This window comes from Homo sapiens, chromosome 10 (genome assembly GCF_000001405.40).
Source record: "Homo sapiens chromosome 10, GRCh38.p14 Primary Assembly".
Taxonomy (NCBI): Eukaryota; Metazoa; Chordata; class Mammalia; order Primates; family Hominidae; genus Homo; species Homo sapiens.
The window spans coordinates 93,352,588-93,378,326 of NC_000010.11; the positions used below are offsets into that span (position 1 = coordinate 93,352,588).

Genomic DNA, 25,739 nt, shown 5'->3' on the forward strand with positions numbered 1-25,739 from the left:
CAAACTTTTTGCAGTTGCCTGGGGGCTGACTTATCTGAAAAATAACACAATATCTAGCCTGAAACTCTTGTATAAGCCAAAAGTGCTTGGTTTCTAGCAGTGGAGCCATCATATGAACCCTTTGCTTTTGCCCTGATGATAATTCTTCTATCTCAAACTGCAAGGAATGTGCTTAGAGTTTTATGAAGCTTTAGTCAAGAACTTTGGAAAGATGTTTTTTTAACTTTCAGTGATAGAGTGCCCCCTGGTGGAAAATATTTGAAAATGTCTTCAAAGACCCTGTTGGAGATGTATATTGCAGAGATAACCTTGAATCTGCTCAAATTTCTAAGAAAAGGAAACCATTCACAAATATTGGTAAATATTAGTGCTTGGAACACGCTTCAAAATTGATGTGAGCACATGAGAGTGTCAGTCAAATGCTTTAACAAACTTTCCGTTTGGAATAAAAAAGTGCAGCTCGCTGCCAGCACTCATTTCTCGGGGCAAATGGGAAATGGGTTAAGAGGTGTTTTCATAGAAGGCCCAGGGAAACTCTGCTGGGCTTTGAGTCCCAAACTGGAATTCTCCCCAGATAGCCTGAACTATCCATGGTTCAGCGGCAAGGACTCAAATCCCCAGACAGGCATGTTCTCCCCTCCTCCCCTGTCCCTTGCCAATAGCCTTCCTCTCAGAACCAGTCCGAAGCAACAAAAGCAGCTGGGTGTCAGTGCAAGAGAAGAAAAAGCCTCATGGTTTTATGGTATTGGGAATGTGGGGAGCAGGCAGAGGAGGAGGTTAAAATGAACTCCAAACTGCTCAAAGCCTGGTGCTGTAGGCAAATGGGCAAACTTATCATCTTTTTGATACCTTGAAAGAGCCTGCAAAAAAACTTAAAGGATCTTAACTTACCAATCAACCTGAGGGTCCAGGGATGAAAACACAGCCATGTATATAAACAGAGATGAGAAATCACTTTCTCGGTGCTTCTTATTACTTAATCAATTAATATCTATTAGTACCAAAAGTATCTTCTATGTATTACTAGGACCCAGCAATGGTGCCTAAAGCATTCAGTGATGATTTATCTAATGACTGAGCAGTTTGCTTCAAGCATGCAAAAATAACCTCAACATGTAAAGGGTTTTTGTTGTTAGAAATGACAAAAAGCATTCACTCGAAACACAGAAGCAAAATAGCATGCTATGTAATCATGTGTAGCATGTAGATTTTTTTTCCTTTACCTGAAAAGCTATCCTTATCTAAAGCCAAGAGGTTTCTGGCTTGATAGACATAGCAGCGCAGATGGTAGATGTAGACTCCTAAAAAAACAGGATAAAGATTACTTACAAGAAGCGTAACACTGTAAACTGCTATTTTACTGGAATATTTGGAAAAAATACATGTTTCTGATAAATGGGTCACTTGAATCTATTATAGTTCCCCACAGTAAAGAGCACATAGAATAGTGATGATGTGGCCTCCCAAAGTAGTTCTATTTCCTGTAAAATAAAACTTATTTTTTAGGCTGGGTGCAGTGGCTCATGCCTGTAATCCCAGAACTTTGGGAGTCCTAGGCAGGCAGACTGTTTGAGGCCAGGAGTTAGGAGACCAGCCTGGTCAACATGGTGAAAACTTGTGTCTCTACTAAAAATTCAAAAATTAGCTGGGCATGGTGGTGCACGTCTGTAATCCTAGCTACTCAGGAGGCTGAGGCACGAGAATCACTTGAACCCTGGAGACAGAGGTTTCAGTGAGCTGAAATCACACCACTGCACTCCAGCCTGGGTGACAGAGTGAGACTCGGTCTTAAAAACAAAAATCCTATTTTTAAAAAATACTACAGTAAGCTCAATGCAAAGTGTATCAATCAGGAAAACATTACCTTTGTTATAAACTAACTGAATTTAGGGTACTGCTTATCATCACAGACCTTTAAAATGAAACTGGGTCTCCAGCAGCTATAGAAACGGGGCTTTCTATACTACTTCAGCATCAGATCTGGGAAACAGTTAACATCTAAAAGATTCTTTGACATTTCAAAATATTCATACTCCTTTTATTATTATATTCTCTCTGTCTCTATCACTCACACATTCACTCTCTCTCTCTCTCTCTCTCTCTCTCTCTCTCTCTTTGTGAGATAGCAGAGCATTATGATTCCGTGCACAGATTCTGGGAGCTCTACTACCTGAGTTCAAATCTCTCTAGTGCTTACAAGCCATAAGACTTTGGGCAAGTTATTTAATCTTCCTGTACCTTGGTTCCTTCTTCTGTATAACGGGAACAATAATAGCACCTACCTTACAGGGTTGTTAAGAGGATTAAACAAGTTATAATATGTACAGGTCCTAGCCCATGCTAAGACCTATATAAGCATTTGCTAATATTATTGTAGAGCAGGTCTGTCTCATTCCAAAAATCCTGAAAATTATTATTGAAATCAACCATTATTTAAATTTTGGTGCCTTTTTTCCTATAGTTAAAATTTTAATTTTGGGGGCTTACTAGACAGAATGAGCACATATGAGATAGACTGTTAATATCAGTGATCTGACCACCCTTCACCTTATATGTGATATGGTTTTCAACTGTAGTTTTAAAAACTCCTTTCATCAAGGATGAAAATGAAAGTCACGTTTGCATGAAGAGATTTTAAAAATCATATTCAGTGATTTGAAGAGTTTCCTTAAGATAAGAGTTACAGAAGTGGAATTCACAAAGTCATGTTTAAAATTCACTGCTGGCTGGGTGTGGTGGCTCACGCCTATAATCCCAGCACTTTGGTAGGCCAAGGCGGGTGGATCACCTGAGGTCAGGAGGTCGAGACCAGCCTGGCTAACATGGAGGAAATGCAAAAATACAAAAAATTAGCCAGGCATGGTGACGTGCGCCTGTAGTCCCAGCTACTCAGGAGGCTGAGGCAGGAGAATTGCTTGAACCTGGGAGGTTGCAGCGAGCCAAGATCGTACCACTGCACTCCAGCCTGGGTGATAGGGCCAGACTCAGTCTTGAAAAAATAAAATAAAATAAAATAAATCAAAAATAAAACAAAACTCACTGTCAAAATTGCAGGAAACAATGGGGGTGTTTGCTCCGAACACAGTGGTGGCACTGTGCTTCTGTTTCTCCAGGCTCTTCTCATCCCCATCTTCGGTAGTGTCTGCCCCCTGAAGTCAATTAACAGAGTCAATTAGCAGAGAAGTCAATAAACACTGCCTAAAAGCAAATCAACCAACCAAGAGGCAAGAATAACAAATGGAATTCTAGCTTTTTAAAGATGTTATCGTGCAAACACCCCATTTTTAAAGATGAATAAGTCCCAGGATAGCAAGTGACTTCCCTGAAGTCGCTTAGCTGGAAAGCAGCCGAGCAGGAAGTGGGAGCCAGCCCTCCTACCTCCAGTCCAGGTTTGCCAAACCCTGCTACTGAAAGAAAGGGAAAAAAAGGAAAAATGTAGAGGATAAACAGGGAGTAAAAGGATGGGATAAGGAAGAGAAAGAGCAGCAGCAGCAGAATACTGTGGGGTCAGAGTGCAGAAATACAAACATAGGCTGTTGGGAAATGGCTCCTGACCACCCTATTGTTTTAGATCACCCACTGCCATTCTCCTATTCCTTCCTTCCACCTGCCTGCTTTTTCCCCCGACTTCTTTACTGTGCTTCAGTATGTTCTTCCGTATTGCTCTCTAATTTTGTGAGCTAGACTTCTGATTTCCTCCCCCGACATCTGTATATTTATGAATATACATATGAATATTTTGTTGAACAGTTGCAGTTTCCAAGATGTGATTCAAAGAACTTGTGCCTGGGATGTGAATAGGTGTCACCTGAAACAAGGGTCCTGGAACAGATATATTTGGAAAACACTAGGTAAAGCAGGTGTGTAGACAGCAGTATTTCTTAGAACACTCCTGTGTTAATGGTCTATTCGTTCTACACGAGGTATTGAGCACCCAGGATGTGTGGCTTTCCCTCAACCTGTTAATATTTGCCATCTTATAGTACCAGGGTTACAGGGACCTCTATGGAGTTGGCAGTGCTGTATCCAACACTCATATATTTTCTCTACACCAATATGATCTGCGCTCTGGCAACCTAGTACTTACAAGGGCACCTTCAAGTTTAAAGATGGCAGCTGCACCATGTGTTTCTGAAGGAGCCATTTTTCTCCTCCAGCGTCTGCGGCGGAAGGTATCTGAACTACGTTGTTTCCAGTGAAATTTCCAGCCAATTAGAGAAGCATATTCCCAGCCCTCTTGGTCTTGCAATTCCTCCATGGCCTAAAACAGAAGTAAACATGTTAATGATGACGATGATGATGATGATATTCCTTATTTTGATAAAACAGGTTATATGATCAATCAACAGATACACAGTATTCAAAATCTACTCTGTGCCAAGTACTGAGCTAGAGTCAGGAATACAGAAAAGAAAAAAACAGACAGGACCTCTGCCTTGCAGAGCTGATGGACTGCAGGAGTGCAGAGAGATAACCAGGCAATGACAGCACAGTCGTGGACATACCCTCAGGAGGTGCACCTCATTCAGATTTGGGGGTGGGTGAAGCAAGTGGATTCTTTCTCAAATTGCTTTCTGTTTCCTCACTTCATTATTTCATAAAAATGTTGCTATTGTGATATAGTTTGTAAAACATTAGTATCTCCATTTTACATATGTAGGAAAAAAATTAAATGCCCCCTCCCAGGTTTAAATGTCTTGCCTGAGCTAATAGCTGCCATAACTGATAATTAAGTGATCAGAATATGTTATTTCTGTAATAACTAATAACAAATTCGTGTGGTACTTTTTAGCTTAAGAACTATTGATTTACCAGTGGTATCAGTTTTCAATGTTATATTCTCTTCATTCGACAAATATGAGTGCCCACTGTGTGACAGGGATCGTGTTAGGGGCTGAGGACACAGTGAAGAAGAGATAGGGTCTTTGCTTTCATGCAGCTGACATTTTCATGGCAGAAGTTTGATTTAAAATCTTAAAAATATGACTGGATTTAATAAACGTAAAACAATGTGGAATAATATTCAAGACCTGAGAAGTGAGAGCTCCATGTGGGTAATTATTGTTGGGTCTATTTTTTCACTTTAAATAAATGTAAAATGCAGGTTAAGCATAATCTTGTACCTGACCCTCTAGTAACATAAATAGTAGCAGTGAAAAATTTCACATAGCCAAGAGTAAGGCAGGTTAGGAAACATGATCAAAGCCTCAGAAATACTCGTTAGAACTGGACCATATCCTGAGCCTTCTAACTGATGGCTCAGTGTTCTTCCCGCTTCAACTTGGTGCCCTCGTGTGGAAGAAGAGCGTTCAAGCACCTTCAGAAACTTCTCACCCTGTCAGACGGGGATAATTAAACAATAGAGAGACATTCATTAAACTAAAGAGCTTCTACACAGCAAAAGAAACTATCATCAGAGTGAACAGATAACCTACAGAATGGAAGAAAATTTTTGCAATCTATCCATCTGACAAAGGTCTAATATCCAGAATCTACAAGCAATTTAAGCAAATTTACAAGGAAAAAACAACCACATTAAAAAGTGGGCAAAGGACATGAACAGATAAATCTTCAAAAGAAGACATTTATGTGGCCAAAAAACATGAAAAAAAGCTCAACATCACGGATCACTAGAGAAATGCAAATCAAAACCACAATGAGATACCATCTCACACTAGTCAGAATAGAGATTATTAAAAGGTCAAGAAACAACAGATGATGGTGAGGCTGTGGAGAAATAGGAAAGCTTTTACACTGTTGGTGGGAGTGTAAATTAGTTCCACCATTGTGGAAGACAGTGTGGCGATTCTTCAAAGACCTAGAACCAGAAATGCCATTTGACCCAGCAATCCCATTACTGGGTATATACCCAGAGGAATATAAACCATTCTATTATAAAGATACATGCATGCATATTTTCATTGCAGCACTCTTCACAATAGCAAAGACATGGAATCAGCCCAAATGTCCATCAATGATAGACTGGATGAAGAAAATGTGGTATATCTACACCATGGAATACTATGCAGCCATAAAAAGGAACGAGATCATGTCCTTTGCAGGGACATGGATGGAGCTGGAAGCCATTATCCTCAGCAACCTAACAGAGGAACAGAAAACCAAACACCGCATGTTCTCACTTACAGGTGGGAGCTGAACAATGAGAACACTTGGACACAGGGAGGGGAACAACACACACTGGGGCCGGCGGGTGGAGGGAGCGCATCAGGATAAATAGCTAATGCATGCTGGGTTTAATATGTAGGCGACGGGTTGATAGGTGCAGCAAACCACCATGGCACACATTTACCTGTGTAACAAACCTGCATGTACTGCACATGTATCTCGGAACTTAAATTAAAAAAAAAAAGACTCATTCATTCATTAGCTCATTTATTTGACTAGATTATTTACTGGGAGCATATTTCTGAGTTAGCAAGGAGGATACAAAGATGACTGTGGCTCCATCTTTGCTTCCAGAAGCTCACCATCTAATAAAAATAATGTCATAGTGCCTACCGGAGTTACCCATTCTGTGGAATAGAGAGAGTTCCTGTTTGGACTTAGCCCGGGTTCCAGCACCAGCTTTGTCACTTACTAAACACTTGGCCCAGAGCAAGTCTATTTAAACTCTGTGAGCATTATCTATAAAATGAGCATAAAATCCAAACCTTACAGAACATAGATGATGCATACTCAGTACCTAGCATTATAGAAAGCCACTTCTATACATGCCACTTATTATTGAGTGTTACTGTTCTATTTAATTTATTATTATTCCATTTAAAGCTTACAATACCCTAATTAAAAGGCATAGATATTATTCCCATTTTGCAGATGAGAAAGAAAGGGAAGTCAGGGTTTGAATCTTTACACATCTTGTTCCAAGTCCTGACCTATTACTACTACTAGATTATGCTGCCAAAATCATTTCCATTTAACACCTCTGTAGCAGTTCTCAACATTTAGCCTGCCTGGGAATCACCTGGATGGTTTGCTGAACTACAGATGGCTGGGCCTGCCCCCAGGATTTCTAAATCAGGAGGTTTGGGGTGGGACAGTTCTAACAAATTCCCAGGTGATGATGATATTGCTGGCTGGGGTGGGCTCACTTTGAGAACCCTTGAGTGGAGTGTTAGGCTCTGGATTTGCAAATAATTTCTGCAGAAATGGCTAGTTAGCTGGGACTTTGTAGTCAGGAGGGCAGAGCTCCCCAGTCCAGCTCCCTTCCCTTGCTTCTCTTACCCTTGCGGTGCTTGAAGCAGTCTGTGTTAAATCTTTCTTGCGTTTTCGGACCAGCCTTCGCCGTCTATGAGTGTGGTACATTTTCTCTGCTGCAACCCAGGATTTGGGCTTATGATCAGGAGGAATGGTGATTCCATATTCCCAGCCTGGAACAGAGTTTGTGAATGGTTACCCAGAAGAGATGCATTTGCCAGATCACCAAATAAACCTCGAGGAAACATTTGTTCACTCTCCCTGCCCTCAGATGTTCTGTACTATCATGACCGAATATGTGGCTGTTTTCACTTTGCTGGGTTATTCAGCCAAACTGAATACAGCCTCATTCCCATTCAGCTCCTCAAAATGCCTCCTTGGTGGCCATGTTCTCCCCTACTTTTATGCTTCCAGTCATTCATGGTAACTGAGTGCACTTAGGAATAAAGCACAGTTCAAGAGGCAGGAAGAAACAGCAGGTAAGCGTGTGGACTGTGCGGTTGCACAGCCTGGGTTCAAATCCTAGCATCGCCACATGTTGGCTGTTAACTAAATAAGTTTCCAGCAAGTTGGTAAACCTGCCTATGGCCCAATTTCCCCACTGTAAAGTGGGATTATAGGGTTACAGTATTTTAACACTATCAAAATGACATATGCAAAGCATTAGGGCCATACTTAGCACACAGCTATTGCTCAGTCAATGCTAACGATTATTCTGAGATCTGGTGTGTGCATCGAGATCAGTGAGGAGCTTATAATTGATTTGAAATCTTCTGGGTCAATGCCAGTTCTATGCACCATGCATAAGGAAAGTAATGAATCAGATTTTCTCTTTTGAGAATTCCAAATGCTATTGTTCACTTAACTTTAATTATGGTTCAGAAAAAGACAAATATCAGAAGCTATATCAGTAGTCTGCATCATTGCTGCATAGGAAGACTTTAAGGGTAGTTTACAGTTCTCTTTTCTGCGTCAGGGGGGCCCTGAATGTGATGTTCCCAGGGAGGTTATGGGGTGTGGTTAGAATAGAGAAAATCTTGACTCCAGCTCCCTCCCAAATTCTCATCCTGGATCCCCAAGCATCTCAAAACCTGACCAGTTGGCCCCATCACCTGATGTTTTTCACTCTTAACACCCCCTGCTCACTTAGCACTTGTCCATACACTTGCCTTTCCCTTGGATTCTACATTTGGTTAGTCACAGACGGTACCACATGACCCAGATGCCACAGACCAGCGGTCCCCAACCTTTCTGTCACCAAGGACCGGTTCCATGGGAGACAATTTTTCTATGGACAGGGTTGTGGGGTAGAGGGAGGATGGCTAGATTCCCATGAGGAGCACACAACCTAGACCCCTCTCACGTGCAGTTCACAATAGGGTTCGCACTCTTAGGAGAATCTAATGCTGCCACGGATCTGACAGGAGGCAGAGCTCAGGTGGTAATGCTCACTTGCCCGCCGCTCACCTCCTGCTGTGCGGCCTTGTTCCTAAAAGGCCATGAACTGGTACCAGTCTGGCCTGGGGGCTGGGGACTCCTGCCATAGACCAACAGAAGTGAGGCCCCTCCCTCCCAAGGAAACTTTATCCTGGTTAACCAAGGCCCTGCTGCAGAGCCCCAATCAGGTCACAGATGTACAATGTTACCTTTCTCATCCACCGCTCGATTTATGTCATAAGACCATGCATCATCTTCCCATTCCCAACCTGGAGGACAAGTCAACTCGCTGGGTGATGCTGCTTTATCGCCGTTCTTACAAAACAAAAATAAAAACAAAGAAGAGAGGTAAGCCATAGTGTCAGTAAGAGGCAAAGGGTCCAATATAGTTCCTCATTTAACTATGGCATTCACACCTTTACTTAGATACCATCTTAGAGATCCATTTCACTCAGAAAAATCTCTAATCTTTATTTATTCACAACTGCTAAATAAAAATTAGTTTAAACTACCTTTTGTTTTTACTATTAGGGAATAGTACTAGGTTCAATCATGTGAAATTGCTGTTGTTATAGGTCAAAGTGGTTGAATCTCAGCAATTTCTTATGGTTCAACTTAATATTATGAAATGGTGCAACTCTCTTTATGAGGGGTTACATGGGATAGAACCCATCAGAGAATGGGTAAAACATTCAAGACACATGGTTGTTTGTTTCTTTGTTTTGAGACAGAGCCTCGCTCTGTTGCCCAGGCTGGAGTGCAGTGGCGTAATCTCGGCTCACTGCAACCTCTGCCTCCTGGGTTCAAGCAATTCTCCTGCCTTAACCTCTTGAGTAGCTGGGATTTACAGGTGTGCGCCACCATGCCCAGCTAATTTTTGTATTTTTAGTAGAGACAGGGTTTCACCATGTTAGCCAGGCTGGTCTCAAACTCCTGACCTCATGATCTGCCCACCTCGGCCTCCCAAAGTGCTGGGATTACAGGCGTGAGCAACCACACCTGGCCTGTTTTTGTTTTTTTTGAGACAGAGTTTTGCTCTGTCGCCCAGGCTGGAGTGCAGTGGTGCAATCTCGAGTCACTGCAACCTCCCCTCCCAGGTTCAAGCGATTCTCCTGCCTCAGCCTCCCAAGTAGCTGGGATTACAGGCACCTGCCACCACACTTGGCTAATTTTTGTATTTTTAGTACAGATGGGGTTTCATCATGTTGGCCAGGCTGATCTCAAACTCCTGACCTTCAGCGATCCACCCACCTCAGCCTCCCGAAGTGCTGGGATTACAGGTGTGACCCACCACACCCGGCAGACACATGTTTTTGAGTATGGGGAAATGCTACTGGAGGTTCATAATGTTAATTATATACAATTAGCAAAATTTATCTAAAATATTGACTTAAGTTTGCATAAAAATGAAGAGAGTTATGAAAAGAAAGTTCCTAAGTAAAGGAAATAAAGGCGGCCCATAAACATGAAAAAATACTCAGCTTTACTTTAAATTAAGAGAGTGAAAATTGAAATAACAGGATACCACTTATTCATGTGGCAAAGATTATAAAGCGGGATGATGAATATTTAGGCAAATGGGCTTCTTGTAATTTTGTTGAAAATATGAATTTATAAAACCTTTTTGAAGGTTATAAAATTTTATCAAAATTTTATATGCATTTAAACCTAGACCAACCAAATGCAAGGATCTTCCCTACAGATAAACGTTCATAAACATACAAAAATGTATGTTTAAGGATGTTCACTGTTACATTGCTTATAAAAACCAACGACTCAAAACCAAAAGCACCTAAATGCCCAGAAAGAGGGGATTAAATGAATTATAGTAGGTACATATAATAAAACATTCTGCAACCATTTTTTAAAAGCTCATAGATCTATATGCATTGACATAAAAAATGTCCAAGATATATTGTTAAGTGAAAAATACAAGCTATGAAACTGTGTGTGCAACACAATTCTATTTAGGCAGGGAAAAAGGAAGTTATATCCTTGTTTATGAACAGAAAACAGACATCAATGGTTATCTTTGGGGAGTGGAATATGGATTGGGGAGAATAATTACTTTTGATTTCCTTTAATGCTGCTTGGATTTTTTAAAGACAGAAACATTTCATTTGTTATACTATTAAAAACTAGGCTGAGCTTGGTGTCTCATGCCTATAATCCCAGCACTTTGGGAAGCTGAGGCTGGAGGATTGCTTGAAGCCAGGAGTTCAAGACCCGCATGGGCAACATAATAAGAACCCATCTCTACAAAAAAATAAAAAATTAGTCCAGCATGGTGGCATGTGCCTGTAGTCCCAGCTACTGGGGAGGCTGAGGCAGGAGGACTGCTTGAGCCCAGGAATTTGAGGTTAGAGTGAGCTATGATCGCACCACTGCGTTCCAGCCTGGGAAACAGAAAGAGCCTATCTCAAAAAACCCTCAAACAACAACAGAACCCTAATTAGATAATAATAAAAATTTACCTAAAAAATTTGCACAATCCAAACTATACCATGTTCCAACATCGAGTTAAATAGGCCTCATTTCTATTCTAAAGAAAATACTTATTGTGGCACTTGTGTGGCTTAAGCTATAAGTGGAAGACTCTTCAGAACATAAGATGGAGCGGAGGAGAGGTTAAAGCCCAAGCCAGGTGGCTGCTGGGTTCCCCGCAGATCACGATCAGAGGTGACAGGTGAGAGTTTCTCTCCGGAGCAGGCCACTCACCGCATCCGTGTAGGTGTCCTCGGCCGGCTTCCAGTCGCCCCCGGGGTAGCGGCTCTCGTTCTGATAGACTTCATCAGTGAACTCCGTGTGACCTGCATCTGCCTCAGTCAGCAAGCTGTGGGGCGGGGAGGGCTCAAGTTACCCAAGGAGACCGGGTAACCGGCAGCCTCGGCGATTGCCAACACTCAGGAAGCATCTACACCCTGGGAGTGGCACCACTTCCCTCCTCGCTTTACCCCTGTTGGTTCTGACTCCAAATTCCTCTTTGTACTAATCGCTTTTGACATTCCTTTGAAGAAAGAGCCTGCTGGAACAATGTGACCTAAATCATAAAGAACTCCTCAAATTAACAAGGTTGCTCCTTCTCAGTAATGAGGATGGGGTCTGGGAAAACAGTATTGTGGGCAGCTTCTTACAGAGACCACAGACAACGCCTTCCATGTTTCTGTTTCAGTTCCGGGCTGCTCAGCTTTATCTCAATGAAACTCTTGGCTAACAGTTCAAAAGAAAAGGGAGCTGTCCCCACTATTTTTTAAAACAGAGTGTAGACGGTCTCATGAAGCCACATGTGGCTTGCTTGGTCTACATAACACAAACTGAAGGGAGGAGTTTAAGTTTTCTGGAGAGTTCCTAGGTAGACAGCCAAACCAGGTCATTTCAGACTCCAAACTCCATTTGGGCATTTGGGAAATCCATACTGACTCTCTGCCATGTTAATTTTCCTCTTGGATTTGGAATTCTTTGGACAACCCGCAGAGGAAAGTTACAGAGGCTCCAACTTTGACTCAAGTCTTCTGCCAGGTACCTACTCAAATGAGGGTTTTTTTTCCCTTTATTGTTTCTGCATCTTTTCTCTGCTGTATTCTCCCCTAGAATCCAGCACAGGAAAGGAATCAAAAAAACAAACAGTCCCAATCACTTATATGAATTGGGCATCACGTCTCTGGGCCTCAAAGAAGGAGAATAAAAGCCCTGGCTGCTGCCTGTAGGATTCCATCCAGCCCTGACATGCTTTGACCTTCTGCTTTTTCTATCACAATTTCCCTACCCTTTCCCTGTCCTCACTAACCTTCCTTCCTTCCAGCCAATTCAAACCCCATTTTCCTTTCCCTCACCAATTTCCCCCAACTCCACCCAGAGCAAGCTGCCTGAATTGAAAGCAATCACATGCAAGCAAGCACGTTTGGGTCTTAAGAGAGCAGTATTTTCTCTTCCCTCCTCCCTCCCTAATGCCTATGCAATTACAGGAAATGAACAACAGAGAGACCAAACTCTAGTTGGAGGCCTTAAAATTCAACTTCACAAGGTTTTTCCCTCCCAACTCAAGGCTGCTGTCATAAGATGGCAAGAAGAGGGAATGCTGGTTCTAATGTTACTGGCAACATTTAGCAAACAGGCTACAGTGTCCCCCAGACTCCAGGGGAACCATCTTTACCACCTTCTACTGTTTATTTTTTTCTTTCTTTTTAATAACAGCTTTTGAGATATAGTTCACATATATGAAATTCATCCACTTACAGTATACCTCCTACCATTTCTTGCAGACATTCTAGCATAATAGTTGAGTACTGGTTTGGGTGCCCACGCTAGACTTGGATTCTAGCCCCTACTATACCATTGACAAGCAATGTGCCTTTGGACAAGTTATTTAATCTTTCTAGATCTCAGTTTCCTCATTTGCAAAGTGGAGATAATACTACTACTTGTTGGGAGATAATTCTCTGCGAGTCTCTTGTGTTTCTGCGCATCTTGTGAGCTCAGGCACTGACTACCTTTGTTATGGGCTATCTTCTCAAAGATGTTTATATGGGGAACACTAAGATAGTCTCTCTCTGCACAGCAAAGGGCCAGCCTGCTTACTGCCCATTATAAAAACTTCAAGTCCCCTAAGCCTAGAGTTCTCTCATATAACTCAATCCACTGTGTGTACAAGTGTCATCTGGCCCTCTTCATGTTACTCTGTGGGAATTCGGGCATGAAAAAGTCGAGCAAATATCAATACTCTGGCATTGCTATTGCTGTGGGCAATAAAGTTCTTTTATTCTAACCCAGGAGTCATGTGTCGGCATCTGTGAAACTGACGGGGGACCTTGTTCGCTTGCAAGTAGGGTCAAATCTCAGATCCTTCTTGCCACTGCCTCCCTTGTAGGGCTGTAGTAAAGATTAAGTAAGATGACGCCAGTGCCCAGCACACTGCCTGACACAGTCAAGCATAATAATTTCTCAAAATGTTAGTTACCAGGTGCTTTTTATATTAGCCTGTCTTATGGTGGAACATCTTTCAACTTTCTACAAATTTCAATGGACTTAGTTCTGCTCAGTGGGTGTTACATAACTATTATCAAGATGATGACGGAGATATAATATATTTAGCAATTTCTAGAGAAAGATTTCATTGCTATCCTTTTTACTCAGAAAATGGACAACTTACCTTCTTTCAGGATCAACTATCCACTCTCCTTCCCATTCCCAGCCTTTTGGAGGCAGAAAAAATTCCCTCTTGAGTTTTATTTTTCCTGTGACATCAGAAAACTTATGACGTCCTACTAATCCAGAAGTACCCCATTTTCCAAACATGAGAGCTTGATTTTCATACTATTAAAAAAGAGATAAAATTGGAGAAACACCATCAGAGAGCAAAAAATAAAGCTAGCACATACATTTTCAAGTTCATCGAGGACTTAGGCTAGACAACTACAGAAAGCAGAAAAAAGCTTTATGCTCAGAAGGTATGGACCTAACTTGAGCTATTACTGATTATGCAACTTCGGATAAATCATTCAACTTTCTAGGACTCAGTGTTCTCATCTGAAATCTGAGGATAATGCTACCTCTCCTATAGAGTCATTCTGGAGTTTAAATGTGCAAATGATTGCGAACGTGCTTTGTAAATAGCGATATAGCATCCTAGTTGCTTCTATTATAATTTTGAATGGCTCAAGATAGTTCGCGAACCTTATCTTTTAAATACCTATGAAAGTCCTCAGCTTATGAATGAGCAGATTTTATAAAATTTATTTGTAAGTCTACTGCTGAGAACTTGGGGCACATTTCCCTGTAGAAACAATATACAATTAATGTTGCCATTTCCCAGGCAGTCCACCAAAAAACCCATCTGAAACATGAAGGTCCTTTAATACCCAGCCCTTATTAGACCTAAAAGTTATGAGCCTTAATTCCATCTGGAATGTGGCAAGGAGACCAAGGCCTCTCTGGGAAGCAGGCTGAATGGCAATGGCAGACTCTGGCTTTTAGGGCATTCCTTTCCAAGTTAGAATCTATAAATCTATGACGGTCTGCTCTTCATCATGGCAACCATGGAAAGGGTAGAGATTTGCCAGTGTGGTGGGTGTCCATGTTTGGATCCAAACTAGAATTTCCAATTGTCTGCTGATGAATCCACTGAGAAGATGATTTGCATAAGCCATAGGAAAGCTTTTGGCTGAAGGAGAAAGGAGGAGATTTGAGTGGGGGCCTGATTAGGAAATTGGAATCAAGAGGACACAATGGTGCTTATCTCAGATACTGGCTGTCAGCCTGGAGGGGAGATGAGCTTCAGGCAGAAACTAAAGGAACTGTTATCCTAAGGGACCTTAAGGCTTGGGGTCACATGACATGGACACAGAATGGAGAGCAAGACATTCCTCCTGTTCTGCTTGGAAGCCAGCATAGCCTTAGTAAAATCCAGGCAAAGACTTGGCATGGACAAGAGGGTATCAGCAGCAGTGGAGATGGGAGCCTCAAGTGGCTTTGAGGGCTGTGGCTTTAGTCAGCAGGACTGGGGCAGGACAGTAAGAAAAAAGTATTCATGAGCAAGCACATGTGAAGCACCTCATAGACTCCCAGAAATCTCGGGGGTGGGGGGGAATTTTGTAGAAAATTACGTGCTAGTATTATTAGCACATGAAGGCAAGAGCCAGTAAAATTTCCATTATTATTAATGTGCCTCTGCTGGTACTCAACAGGTGAGTCACACAGAACAACAGAAATGAGTGGATCATCTCTCTACATAAGTTGAAGCTCAGGCTTCACTCTATGCAGGGAAGGATCCAAAAATGGGAAAGAGTGGAAGGAAGCCCTGGGCTGGTCGATCATTGCTCAGGGCTGCTTTCTCCAGTTTAGACCCAGCCACAGAGCTGGAGGGCAGGTAGATGCCAAGAAATCCTACAGGAAGGCAGGAATGAGCCTCTCCTTACCTATGCCATGAAGCCCCTACTCCACACAATCCAGCTGGCTGGACATCAACATCCTCCATTCAGGGCCTCCCTAGTGGCCTCCAGCACACCCTCTATCTTCACTAGCACCTCTAAGCCTGAGCTGCAAGGGCTTGTATGTTTCCCACACATTCTACTGTTTCTTAAAGTGGTCCCCACTCTCGCCCCATGTTGGAATCACCACTGCTGCTAATCCCTAACCCAAGCTACACAATCAGAATCCCCAGGGTGCCCCTGGGAGTCTGCATGCTTAACAAGAGACCTAGTTTTGCAATCATTGCAATAGATTGTGAGATCCTTGAGGACCAGGCTTGGCTTCTTCATCATCTTCAGCAGCTGGTTACCTGGCTCAGTGCCTAGCATGAAGCCACCACTCCCTAAAAGCTCCGATGGACAGATGGAGGGATGGAGGAATGAATGGTTGGGTGGACAGTAGGACAGATAAATTGTCATCATTTATTTATTCATTCAATAAACAGGTATTGGGACCTGTTATGTGCCAGGAACTGCTGAATGAATAAAAAGTAAAAATAAAAGAGGGTCAAGGGTTGTCTTGCCTAGCAAGCAGATCAGAGCCACAATCCTGAACCAGTTGTCAGGTATAGCAGTGAGTAGCAGGAATAGATTTCTAGACTAGCTAAAATGATGACAGTCTTCACCTCATTTCTTGGAGCATGAAGGCCTATCTGTAGAGTGGTGTTCATCTGAAAGTTATCAGAAGAGACCCACCGAATACATCTGGTAAATTTAAGTCAATAAGCACTTGAGTTAAAAATAGCATAAAAAATCAAAACAATTCTACTTTTAGCTGTAAACATTTGTGAACATTATTTTCATTGGTTTAATTGTAATGAGACTTTTCATTAACTACATGGATTTTAAGCTCAGTGAAGGTTTTACAAATTATCTCTATTGTTTTAGAAGTATTCAGACAGCTTTTTTTTTTTTTTTTTTTTTTGCCCCTGGACAAGCCTATCTGAGGCTTCCCTTAAGTGTGAAATGGGTCTTCAGGGGTTTTAAGACACTCTACCCCAAGTAAGCTTATCAAGATCTGAACATCTCAAGTGTCCCCTCTCCTGGGTTGGTGTGTGTGTGTGTGTGTATACTCTACTTAGTGTCCCAGCATCAGGAACCAATAAGATTATTACAGAGTTCTAGTTTTGAGAGCTAGAAAGACACCCATTTTCAGTATTGCTAGTAAGATTGTGGTAGAAGTGGAAGGCATCTAAGTCATCTCTTGGAATTATCACACAAAAGTGTTAATCACCATGGTGTGTTCCAATGTTGACTATAAAATCTCAGGAGCATCTTCTCTTATCCCTTAGGTTAAGATCCCTTCGATGGGATTTTAGGGGATGGTAAGGAGGGCTGTGGTTGTTTTTGGTATGTAAATGTTTTCCATAAAGGTGAAAAGTAAAAGTGCCCCTCCCCCGACCAAAGAAGAAAAGATAGTGAAATCATTAAAGGTACCATTTCAGCAAAGACGGTGAAAGTTCCTTCTGCGAAGCTGTTAAACTTCTTCTCCACAGCACTTAAGCCTAGCCAGATGTTCACTCGCAACTCCACAGGCACCTTTGGCCCGTTGTTTTTCTCCTGTGGATACTGTGAGATGAACAATAGCATGTGATGTTACATTAGGCACAGCAAAGACTGTGACATTAAGTTAAAGCCAAAAACAGAGGGAACATCTAATCATTGCTTTCACCAGTCTAATTTTATGTTTGCTTCAGTTAAAACATTTCCAGATGACCCTACAGCAAAGATTAAAATCACAATTAAAGCAGCAGATCTCACAGTGTGATCCATAGATTCCTGCCTGTCCCTGAGACCTTTTCAGGAGGTCCACAAGGTCAAAACAATTTTTCTAATAACACTAACATGGTATTTATCTTCTTTACTGTATTGACACTTGCACTGGTGGTGCAAAAGCAACAGTGGAAAAAACTCCTGCACTGTAGCAGGAATCAAGGCCGGATTGCCAAACTGGACCTAGTAGTAACAGTAAAAGTAATAGTAATAATAACAGCAATCTCAGTAAAGAAACAAAATTCCAGTTTCACTAAAGAATTATCTTTCCCTTTTTATGTGCAAAAACATAAAAATAAAAGGATTCTGTTGATCAAGCAGTAATGATTACTAATTTTTTTTTTTTTTTTTTTTTGAGACAGAGTCTCACTCTGTTGCTGGAGTGCAGTGGCTCAATCTCGGCTCACTGCACCCTTGACCTCCAGGGCTCAAGCGATCCTCCCTCCCCAGCTGCCAGAGTAGCTGGGATCACAGATGCATGCCACCATGCCTGGCTAATTTTTGTATTTTTTTTGTAGAGACGGGGGTCTTGCCATGTTGCCCTGGTGGGTCTTAAACTCCTGAACTCAAACGACCCACCCACCTCAGCCTCCCAGAGTGCTGGGATGACAGGCGTACACCACTGTGCCCAGCCAAGATTACCAATCTTATTAAATCTCGACCCTTGAATACATGTCTTGTTAATATTTTGTGTGATGAGATGGGAAGTACATGCGAAGCACTTCTGCTGCATATTGGCATATGATGGTTGTCTTGAGAAAAAGCTCTTGTGCAATTTTTTGAGTTGTAAGTTGAACTAGATTTTTGAAAAATGAAATATCACTTTTACTTAAAACTGCGATTGACAGGTAAACATGGTTATTCCAATTTGAGTATGGGGCAAGGATTTTTTTTTTAAACATAAACAAAGTGAACCTCTCACTCCAAGGAAAATAACTCTTTATTTGTTGGTGATGACAAAATTCCAGCTTTCACGTAAAATAATAGAGTGTTGGAAAACATGAATCTGTAACAATAAGTTTGATAGCTTCCCAACACATAGACTTTCTGATAAGTGATATTAACAAATGTGATTTCAAAGTGTGTTTTTTTCAATATTGTATGATGAAATGTGTCATAACTCAGTGATCTACATAACTCAGTGAATTTTCCAAATGATTGTACATTATGTTACAAAATCATGCATGAATAAAAGAGTCATTCAAAGTCCAAGAAAGACCAAGGATTTTAACGTAGCTGAGTATGAAAAATTCATTGATATGGTTTCAGATGTCACACTGCAATTAACCTTTTAAAAGCTACCACTTGAGTTTAGTGTTATATCAAAGATGAATATTCATAATTATCTGAAAAGGTTATTATAATACTCCTCCCTTTTCCAACTACATATCTATGTGACGCCAGATCCTTATCATATACTTCAACCAAATAACTAATTCCATCAGCTTAAATGCACAAGAAGATGAGAGAATCCAGTTATGTTTCTGTTCAGCAAGACATTAAAGAAGTTTGCAAAAATGCAAAACAGTCTCACTCTGCTTTCTGATTTTTTACACAAAATGTATTTTGTAAAAATATGTAGTTTATTAACATTTTAAATTAAATATGTAATTGATGTAATTTATGTTAGTAACGGGTTATTGTTACAGTTAAATCAATAAATATTTTAAAAATTTATCAGCTTCGATCTCTATTATAGTAAATATTCATAGGTATAACCCACATAAACCAAAGCTCTCTGGGGCCTTCAACCTTTTTTTTTAAAGTATAAAGGGATCTCAAGACCAAAAAAACTCATGAGTTAAACAGCTCCCTAAACTGTGTAATGAGTATTAACAAAATCAATAAATATACAAAACATTCTCTTAAAAGCATTTTGCTGTTTATCCACTAACTTCTAAAACCTAACACAGAGAAGGTGCCTTTGTCTCCTCTCCCACCCCCTGTGAAGCTTTATTTATTAATCAGTTTGCTTCCACCCACTGCTGAGGTCAATTATAATTGTGGTTCTATCTTAAGTAAAATTTATTCTACCAAGAGACACTTGAAAGAAGATAATCACTCTGATTCTATTTACACCCTCCTGATTAAAGAGCAATGAGTAAATTTATTAAAAGTTAGCAGAATCTCCTTGTTTGAAGAGAACACTCTCTCCAACTCTGCTTTTTCTCTTCTTAATTGTTATTTCTCTGTCCCAAATGCAAAGAACTCCAGTTGGGGTTGGCCAGAGAGATGACGTCAAAACATATAGATGGGAACTATTCTGATTTCTTTGTTTCGGCCCTAGGCTCACCTTTGATTCCCCATATACACACACAGAGTTCTTAATACGGGGCCCTGGAACAGGCTTATGGGTTGTATGAAGCTCCTAAATTCTATGCAAAATATTAGCTGAACATGCAGTGTGCATTTCCCTGGAGGAGAAGGCCTGTGGCTCTCGTCAGGCACTTAAGAGAGTCTATGACTCTAAAAGTATTCAGAATCTCTTCCCTAAAGTTACGATTGTCAAAAATGTTCAATTTGATTGGTTCATCAAATTGAAATTGATTCAATCTATTGCTCATTAGGTTAGAGCAACAGATTCCATGAACCATCCCTACTGCTTTCTCTTTCTTTCCCCAACATTCACTAGAATGAAAGGAAGAAAGGCATTGCCTTGTGTGAAATATTAGAAGTGAAATATTCATGCCAGAAAGCAAAGCATTCACAATGCCATGTTTATATTAATGTCACAAAGACATCTAAGGAGGTGTCCTTGATTGAAAGCTGGCCAACCTCAGATCACTCTCTCTCAGAATTATTGCCCCAGAGAGAGGGACCAGGATGGGCTAGAATTGATCCCAATCACCCTTACCATTCAATGATTTGCAAATGATATAAAGCAGACCCTTCTCAGGAATACAGCTTTTGCATTTAGTGTGTTTCACATGACACAGTGAAGATATGTACCTTCAGAAAGATGGTTTGGGTTTTCCCACAGTATTTTCCAGATGCATTCTCACCACTGGTGGAGTACAAGACCTGATGTGCGGGAATTCGTGCATAGGCCAGTCTCTTCTCTCCCCGGATCATCCAGATGATGATGTCAGGCATGCTGTTCTGTGGCTGGTCATGAGGATTGGATGGAAGAGGAAGCACAGCCATGGTTAGTCTAAATGGAGAGGGACCGAAGACCCTGCAGGCTGGACCCTCAGGGATTCATTTAGCAAAGAAACGCTGTGGTTAGGGCTCTGTCTCAAATTCCTGAGCTCCCATCTTCTAGGACCGCACTGTGAGTTTGCAGGGCTGGGAGGCAGACTGTGGCTGGCCAAAGGGAAGGGCGAGAAGCAGAGGCGCAGCTTCACCTAGCAAAAGTCCCTCCTACTCTTCTCTGGGAGGTATCTTAGAAAATATTCCATCTTATCTCAAGCATCATTTGAAGAAAGCCACCAGCAGCAGTCAAAAGGTTACAGATTGCATATATTTTACAGGATAAAGAGTCTCTGGCTCACCATCCAATATTTGTCAAATCTGAAATATTAATTTTGTTTTCAAAAACCTCTTTTTTTATTATAAAGAAGATAATCCAGCTTCCAGAGCTGGATATGCAAATGTCCCTATTGGCACACAGTGGTATAAAAAAACTGCCTAAGTCCACTATAGAACACTGTGAAAGTACCAAAGCATACAAAGTAGAAAATGAAATTACCTATAATCCTGTGTGCTTTTTCAAGCGTATTTCTACCCACAAATATATGACTACCTACCCAACCCTCTGATTTCTGAGAGACAGGAGGAGTCGTCTCCTTACTTCCTCATTCTTCTAGTCCACCGAAGTTAGTGGAGGCCAGCATTTATCCAGCACTTACTGTATGCCCTCAACTGTGCTAAGCCCTTTACACCTACCATTTTTTTTTATACTTTAAGTTCTAGGGTACATGTGCACAATGTGCAGGTTTGTTACATAGGTATACATGTGCCATGTTGGTTTGCTGCACCCATCAACTCATCATTTACGTTAGGTATTTCTCTTAATGCTATCCCTCCCCCAGCCCCCTATCCCGCTGACAGGCCCCGGTGTGTGATGTTCCCCACCCTGTGTCCAAATGTTCTCATTGTTCAGTTCCCACCTATGAGTGAGAACATGCGGTGTTTGGTTTTCTGTCCTTGTGATAGTTTGCTGAGAATGATGGTTTCCACCTTCATCCATGTCCCTGCAAAGGACATGTACTCATCCTTTTTTATGGCTGCATAGTAGTCCATGGTGTATATGTGCCACATTTTCTTAATCCAGTCTATCATTCATGGACATTTGTACACCCACCATCTTTTTAAAATCTTCACACAACAAAGCTAACTAGTAAGTGCTATGTTTATCTCCATTTTACAGATGGGGAAACTGAGGCTCAGAGAGGTTGAATAACTTGCCCAATGTTATACATGGTAGAACCAAGGTTCAAATTCAGGTCTTCCCAACCCCAGCCAAAGCTGACATTTTAATCCTGTGAACTGCAAAGACCATTCAAAATATTCTCCGACAGTACCATGAAAATGATAATGATTTGTCCACTTTTGAAGACATTTCCAAGATCACCAACTCAAAATTCTTCCCCTGCTCTGATTTCAATCACATTCATCATTAGCATCCTCAGCCCAGTTACTCCCTGATTTTTACAATCTGTCAGAGCTGCTCAATATCCAAGATAATGTAGTAGATTCTCTTTCCACCATCCTATTCTTGGTGCCATTTCGCAGAGCCCTTCTTCCATATCAGGTGACGTTTGTGTAGTTTAAAAGTCCTACCTCTTCAGTCAGCTGCATTAATTTATCAAGCCAGTCCTCAATTTCTGCCAGTGTGGACTTCACATCTGTGGCTTCCGACCTCATCCTCACAGCCGCCTCATGTATTTGGGAGAGAGACCTGGACCGCAGCTTTCGGATCTGAGTATCGAGAACTGTGACGTTGGCTTTTCCTTCTGTGAGAGGCAACGTGTATCTAGAAAAATGAAGAAAAAAAGAAACAGAGGATTTGAAGAATAACCTAATTTTAGGCTTCAGAACTGTCAAATACATTTATGTTGGATTTCCATCTTGCAAACCACATCAACCTCCTAACTGAATCTACAAGCACTGCCTGGTTTACGCTGGAGTAGAGTGTATCTGGCATTGCCAGAGCAGACCTGCCGGTCTCTTGATGTTCATAAGGAATACAGGGAGATTAAAATCCCAAAGCCATTTTAGGCCTTAGGGTTTAACCTACGGCCCAAGGAGTCACTGGAAAGAAGATGGAAACAGTGGCAGCTGAGAGAAACTGGCTTTCCCTTCTTTTGCTTCCTAGAATCATTTTACAGAACCACAAAATGATGGAAGAAGAAGGGAGGCTAGAGACCATTTAGCTGAAGCATACTTAACTTAGGGAATCCTGGGCCTTTAAGCAATCTATGGGTGGGTCTCGAAGGTCTGTGAAACTCTGGAACTTATAAAGAAAACTGTGTCTATCTGTGTCAACACGTAGTGTGATGTAATGATGAACATAGGCTTTGGAGCCAACAACCTGGGTACTAATCGTGGCTCCATTCTTTACTAGTTCTATTGTCTTGACCAGTCACTTACTTCCTTGTCCTCCTATTTTCAAATGTGGGACATGCTTTTTAGGGCTGTTGTGAGAAGGAAATGAGTTGCTGTATGGAAAGGATTTAGAATAGTTGCATAGCAACGTCTAAACAATGTTGCCATCCTCATCATCATCTCGTTGTCATCTTTATTATCACCATCATCTCATCAGATTCTCAAAGGGGCCCATGAACTCCAGAAAGATTTATGAACCAACCATGTAGGCCAAATCTCCATTCAATATGAGAACTTGGATGTGTTGTGATGAGACCCCCAAGGGTTCCTGAGAATGGCTGAGCTAGAGCCAGAATTAGCCTTCTGCTGCCAGGCCTTGCCTCCCACCATGGCATCTGGTGGGACACAGGGTGAGGATTTCCACCAGGTTCACGAAGCTCTGATTCACAGTGTCCTTACCTAGAATTTCCACTCACTTGAATTTCACCTAGCTTCTTCAATGAAGAAAATCCTAGCACAACTTCCCTTAGACACTGAATTTCCTGTTACATAAAGTTTAGAAAGATTCCAATTTGATTCCTCAAAAACAGCTCATATCAGAAGTATAAATAGATGACTGTGGTTTGCTCTGCAAATCTTAAAATTCACAGACAATTTCTCCATGAAAGTTATTACCAAATGTTTCTGTTTGGTTTCATAAATAACTACGGCATTGTATTTGAAGGGTTAATTCCCCAGAGTGAGACTTTGAGGCAAAAAGATATCTGGAAGCTGTTAGTTCAAAAGTCACACTTGGGGCCTTGAACAAATAGATGTCTACTGTGAAATACATGGCAGGAAGAGGGGCTGAGTTGGCAAACCCAGCTCTGGGCATCAGATATGTCATTTCTCCTCTTTGGGCCTCTGTTTTCTCATTTACAAGATAAGGAGACTGAAGGACATGATCCCTTAGGACCCAGCTCTAACATTCAGAACTTAAACAAGCACCCCAGCAGTACTTTGATTTTGGTTGCGTTTCAATTACCTGGCTTTACCACTAGGAGGCACAAGAAGACAGGGTGACTTAGGGTGTTAGCCCAGTGTGGGGAATAAAGGCCTTTTTGCTTGTGGAAAGCATTCAATATGCTTTTCTTTCGGAACTTCCCTGTCCACTGCTTTATTAACCAATATTTAAAATGAGTTTGGAACGAATCACTTCCCCCTTTGATTTCCATATGCTAAAAGATCTGAGCTGTTTCCCCGAATCAGTTATGAAAGGTCCGCTGGTTCAAGTCAAATCTACTGGTTTTGCCTAACAGAGGCTTGGCCACAGTGTTCATCAGGCATTCAGTAAAAGAGCAAGTAAAAGGGCTGTTTCTAAAAATATGTTTATGAATTAGAGATATTGTTCTGAATGGTAAAATCAATGCTCCACTCCCAGATCCCATTCTCCGTAGGAGCCAGAAGTCACCCTTCTCCAGGGTGGGGGTCATTCTTGGGTTGATGAGAAGCAGAGGCTCAGGCTTGCTTCTTTCTCCGCTCCCCATCCCTTGCCTGAGGCTGCCTGGGACGTGCTTCTGGGAGTGGGGCCTCAGCCTCCCTAGGCTACTTGAGAACTGGCACCAAATCAGAAAGTGGAGCTTTTCCTGGTGGTGATTCAGGCACTCCTCCCAGTGAGGACTTTTTACGAAGTTTGAATAATTCAAAATCACTTCTTAGACAAACACTAGAAACAATTCCACAGGATTTACAGTCTTAGAATTTCAGGGAGGAGCGCCTGGATGAAAATTCTGAGATAGGCGTAAGATCACTGTACCTCGTGTCTTCTATAACTTCATCTATCAGCTTCAGCCACAATTCAGCCAGCTGGTTTGCAGGAATTTTACCTTGTATCCCTGATTTTAGAGCTTCTATATTTGTTTGCTGAAGAATTTGAAAAGAGAGGAAATAATTGATAATTGTTCATTATGCCATTATACCTTTTCATATAGTTTAACCTGTGAAATCATGTAAATATTTTTGTATATTCAAAAAACAAATAAAATGAAACCAGCAAAGATAGGAGAGGGAACCCTAAAGTGGAATATAACCAGAAATAAAACAGATCTAATTACATTTCAGATGAATAACATAATTACACTAAACTAACCCAAGTAACTTTTGGAACACAGTATTTTGACTATGTACACTTTGTTAAAAGGCAGAAAAAAAAAACCCATAAACATATTGAACTCTAATTAGTAGGCTTATTTTTCACAGTGGTTTATCTACAGATTTTAGGATTGAACCAAGGAGTAAATATATTGAGGATAACAAAGGCCAGATTTCTCACTGTTGGAGAAGAAAGTTAGAGACATAGAAATACAGAGGACTAGGATAAACCTTGTGGTATTGGACTGGAATTGGAAGTATCTTTATGAAGTCATAGCTTTTAATATATTGATAGATATAGAAATAAATAGACATACATGTGTCTGTGCAAATTCGTTTGCTGAGAAGGCCTAGAAGCAATGATATTTCAGTAGTAGTGAGCACTGTATACCCAGATTTTGTTTCTAAAATGCTATTCCCCACTCAAAGGAAAAAGCTGCTTGGAGAAATAGCGATTTACGGACTGGGGCAGAGAAAGTACAAGATAAGCTCAAAACATATGGTTCTATTCCATTGAGCACCTGCCAACAGAGAAGTTGAGGAAGAGCCTACCATGACTGTCAAAAGTCCTAATCAGGGAAAAGGGAAAGCCACCATCCTGTCCAGATTAGGCAGCCTGGTCAGTGGAGAGAGCTGATAAGAAGAACCAGGATGAAAATTGCTGAAGAG

General features: G+C 41.3%; 1 protein-coding gene across 10 annotated transcripts in view; it reads right to left on the reverse strand.

Annotated features, from left to right (window-relative positions):
• Nucleotides 1-25,739, reverse strand: part of MYOF (myoferlin) — a 175,906-nt gene that overhangs the window by 46,159 nt on the left and 104,008 nt on the right. For all 10 annotated transcript variants that reach the window (XM_047425049.1, NM_133337.3, XM_005269694.6 and 7 more), the window contains 11 exons: nt 24,736-24,842; nt 22,176-22,368; nt 20,343-20,498; nt 17,058-17,189; nt 13,805-13,968; nt 11,374-11,488; nt 8,865-8,970; nt 7,246-7,391; nt 4,088-4,261; nt 3,041-3,149; nt 1,224-1,301 (listed from right to left, as the gene is read on the reverse strand). In XM_047425049.1, coding sequence (XP_047281005.1) covers nt 1,224-1,301; nt 3,041-3,149; nt 4,088-4,261; nt 7,246-7,391; nt 8,865-8,970; nt 11,374-11,488; nt 13,805-13,968; nt 17,058-17,189; nt 20,343-20,498; nt 22,176-22,368; nt 24,736-24,842 — 1,480 coding nt within the window. The remainder of the gene's footprint in view (nt 1-1,223; nt 1,302-3,040; nt 3,150-4,087; nt 4,262-7,245; nt 7,392-8,864; nt 8,971-11,373; nt 11,489-13,804; nt 13,969-17,057; nt 17,190-20,342; nt 20,499-22,175; nt 22,369-24,735; nt 24,843-25,739) is intronic.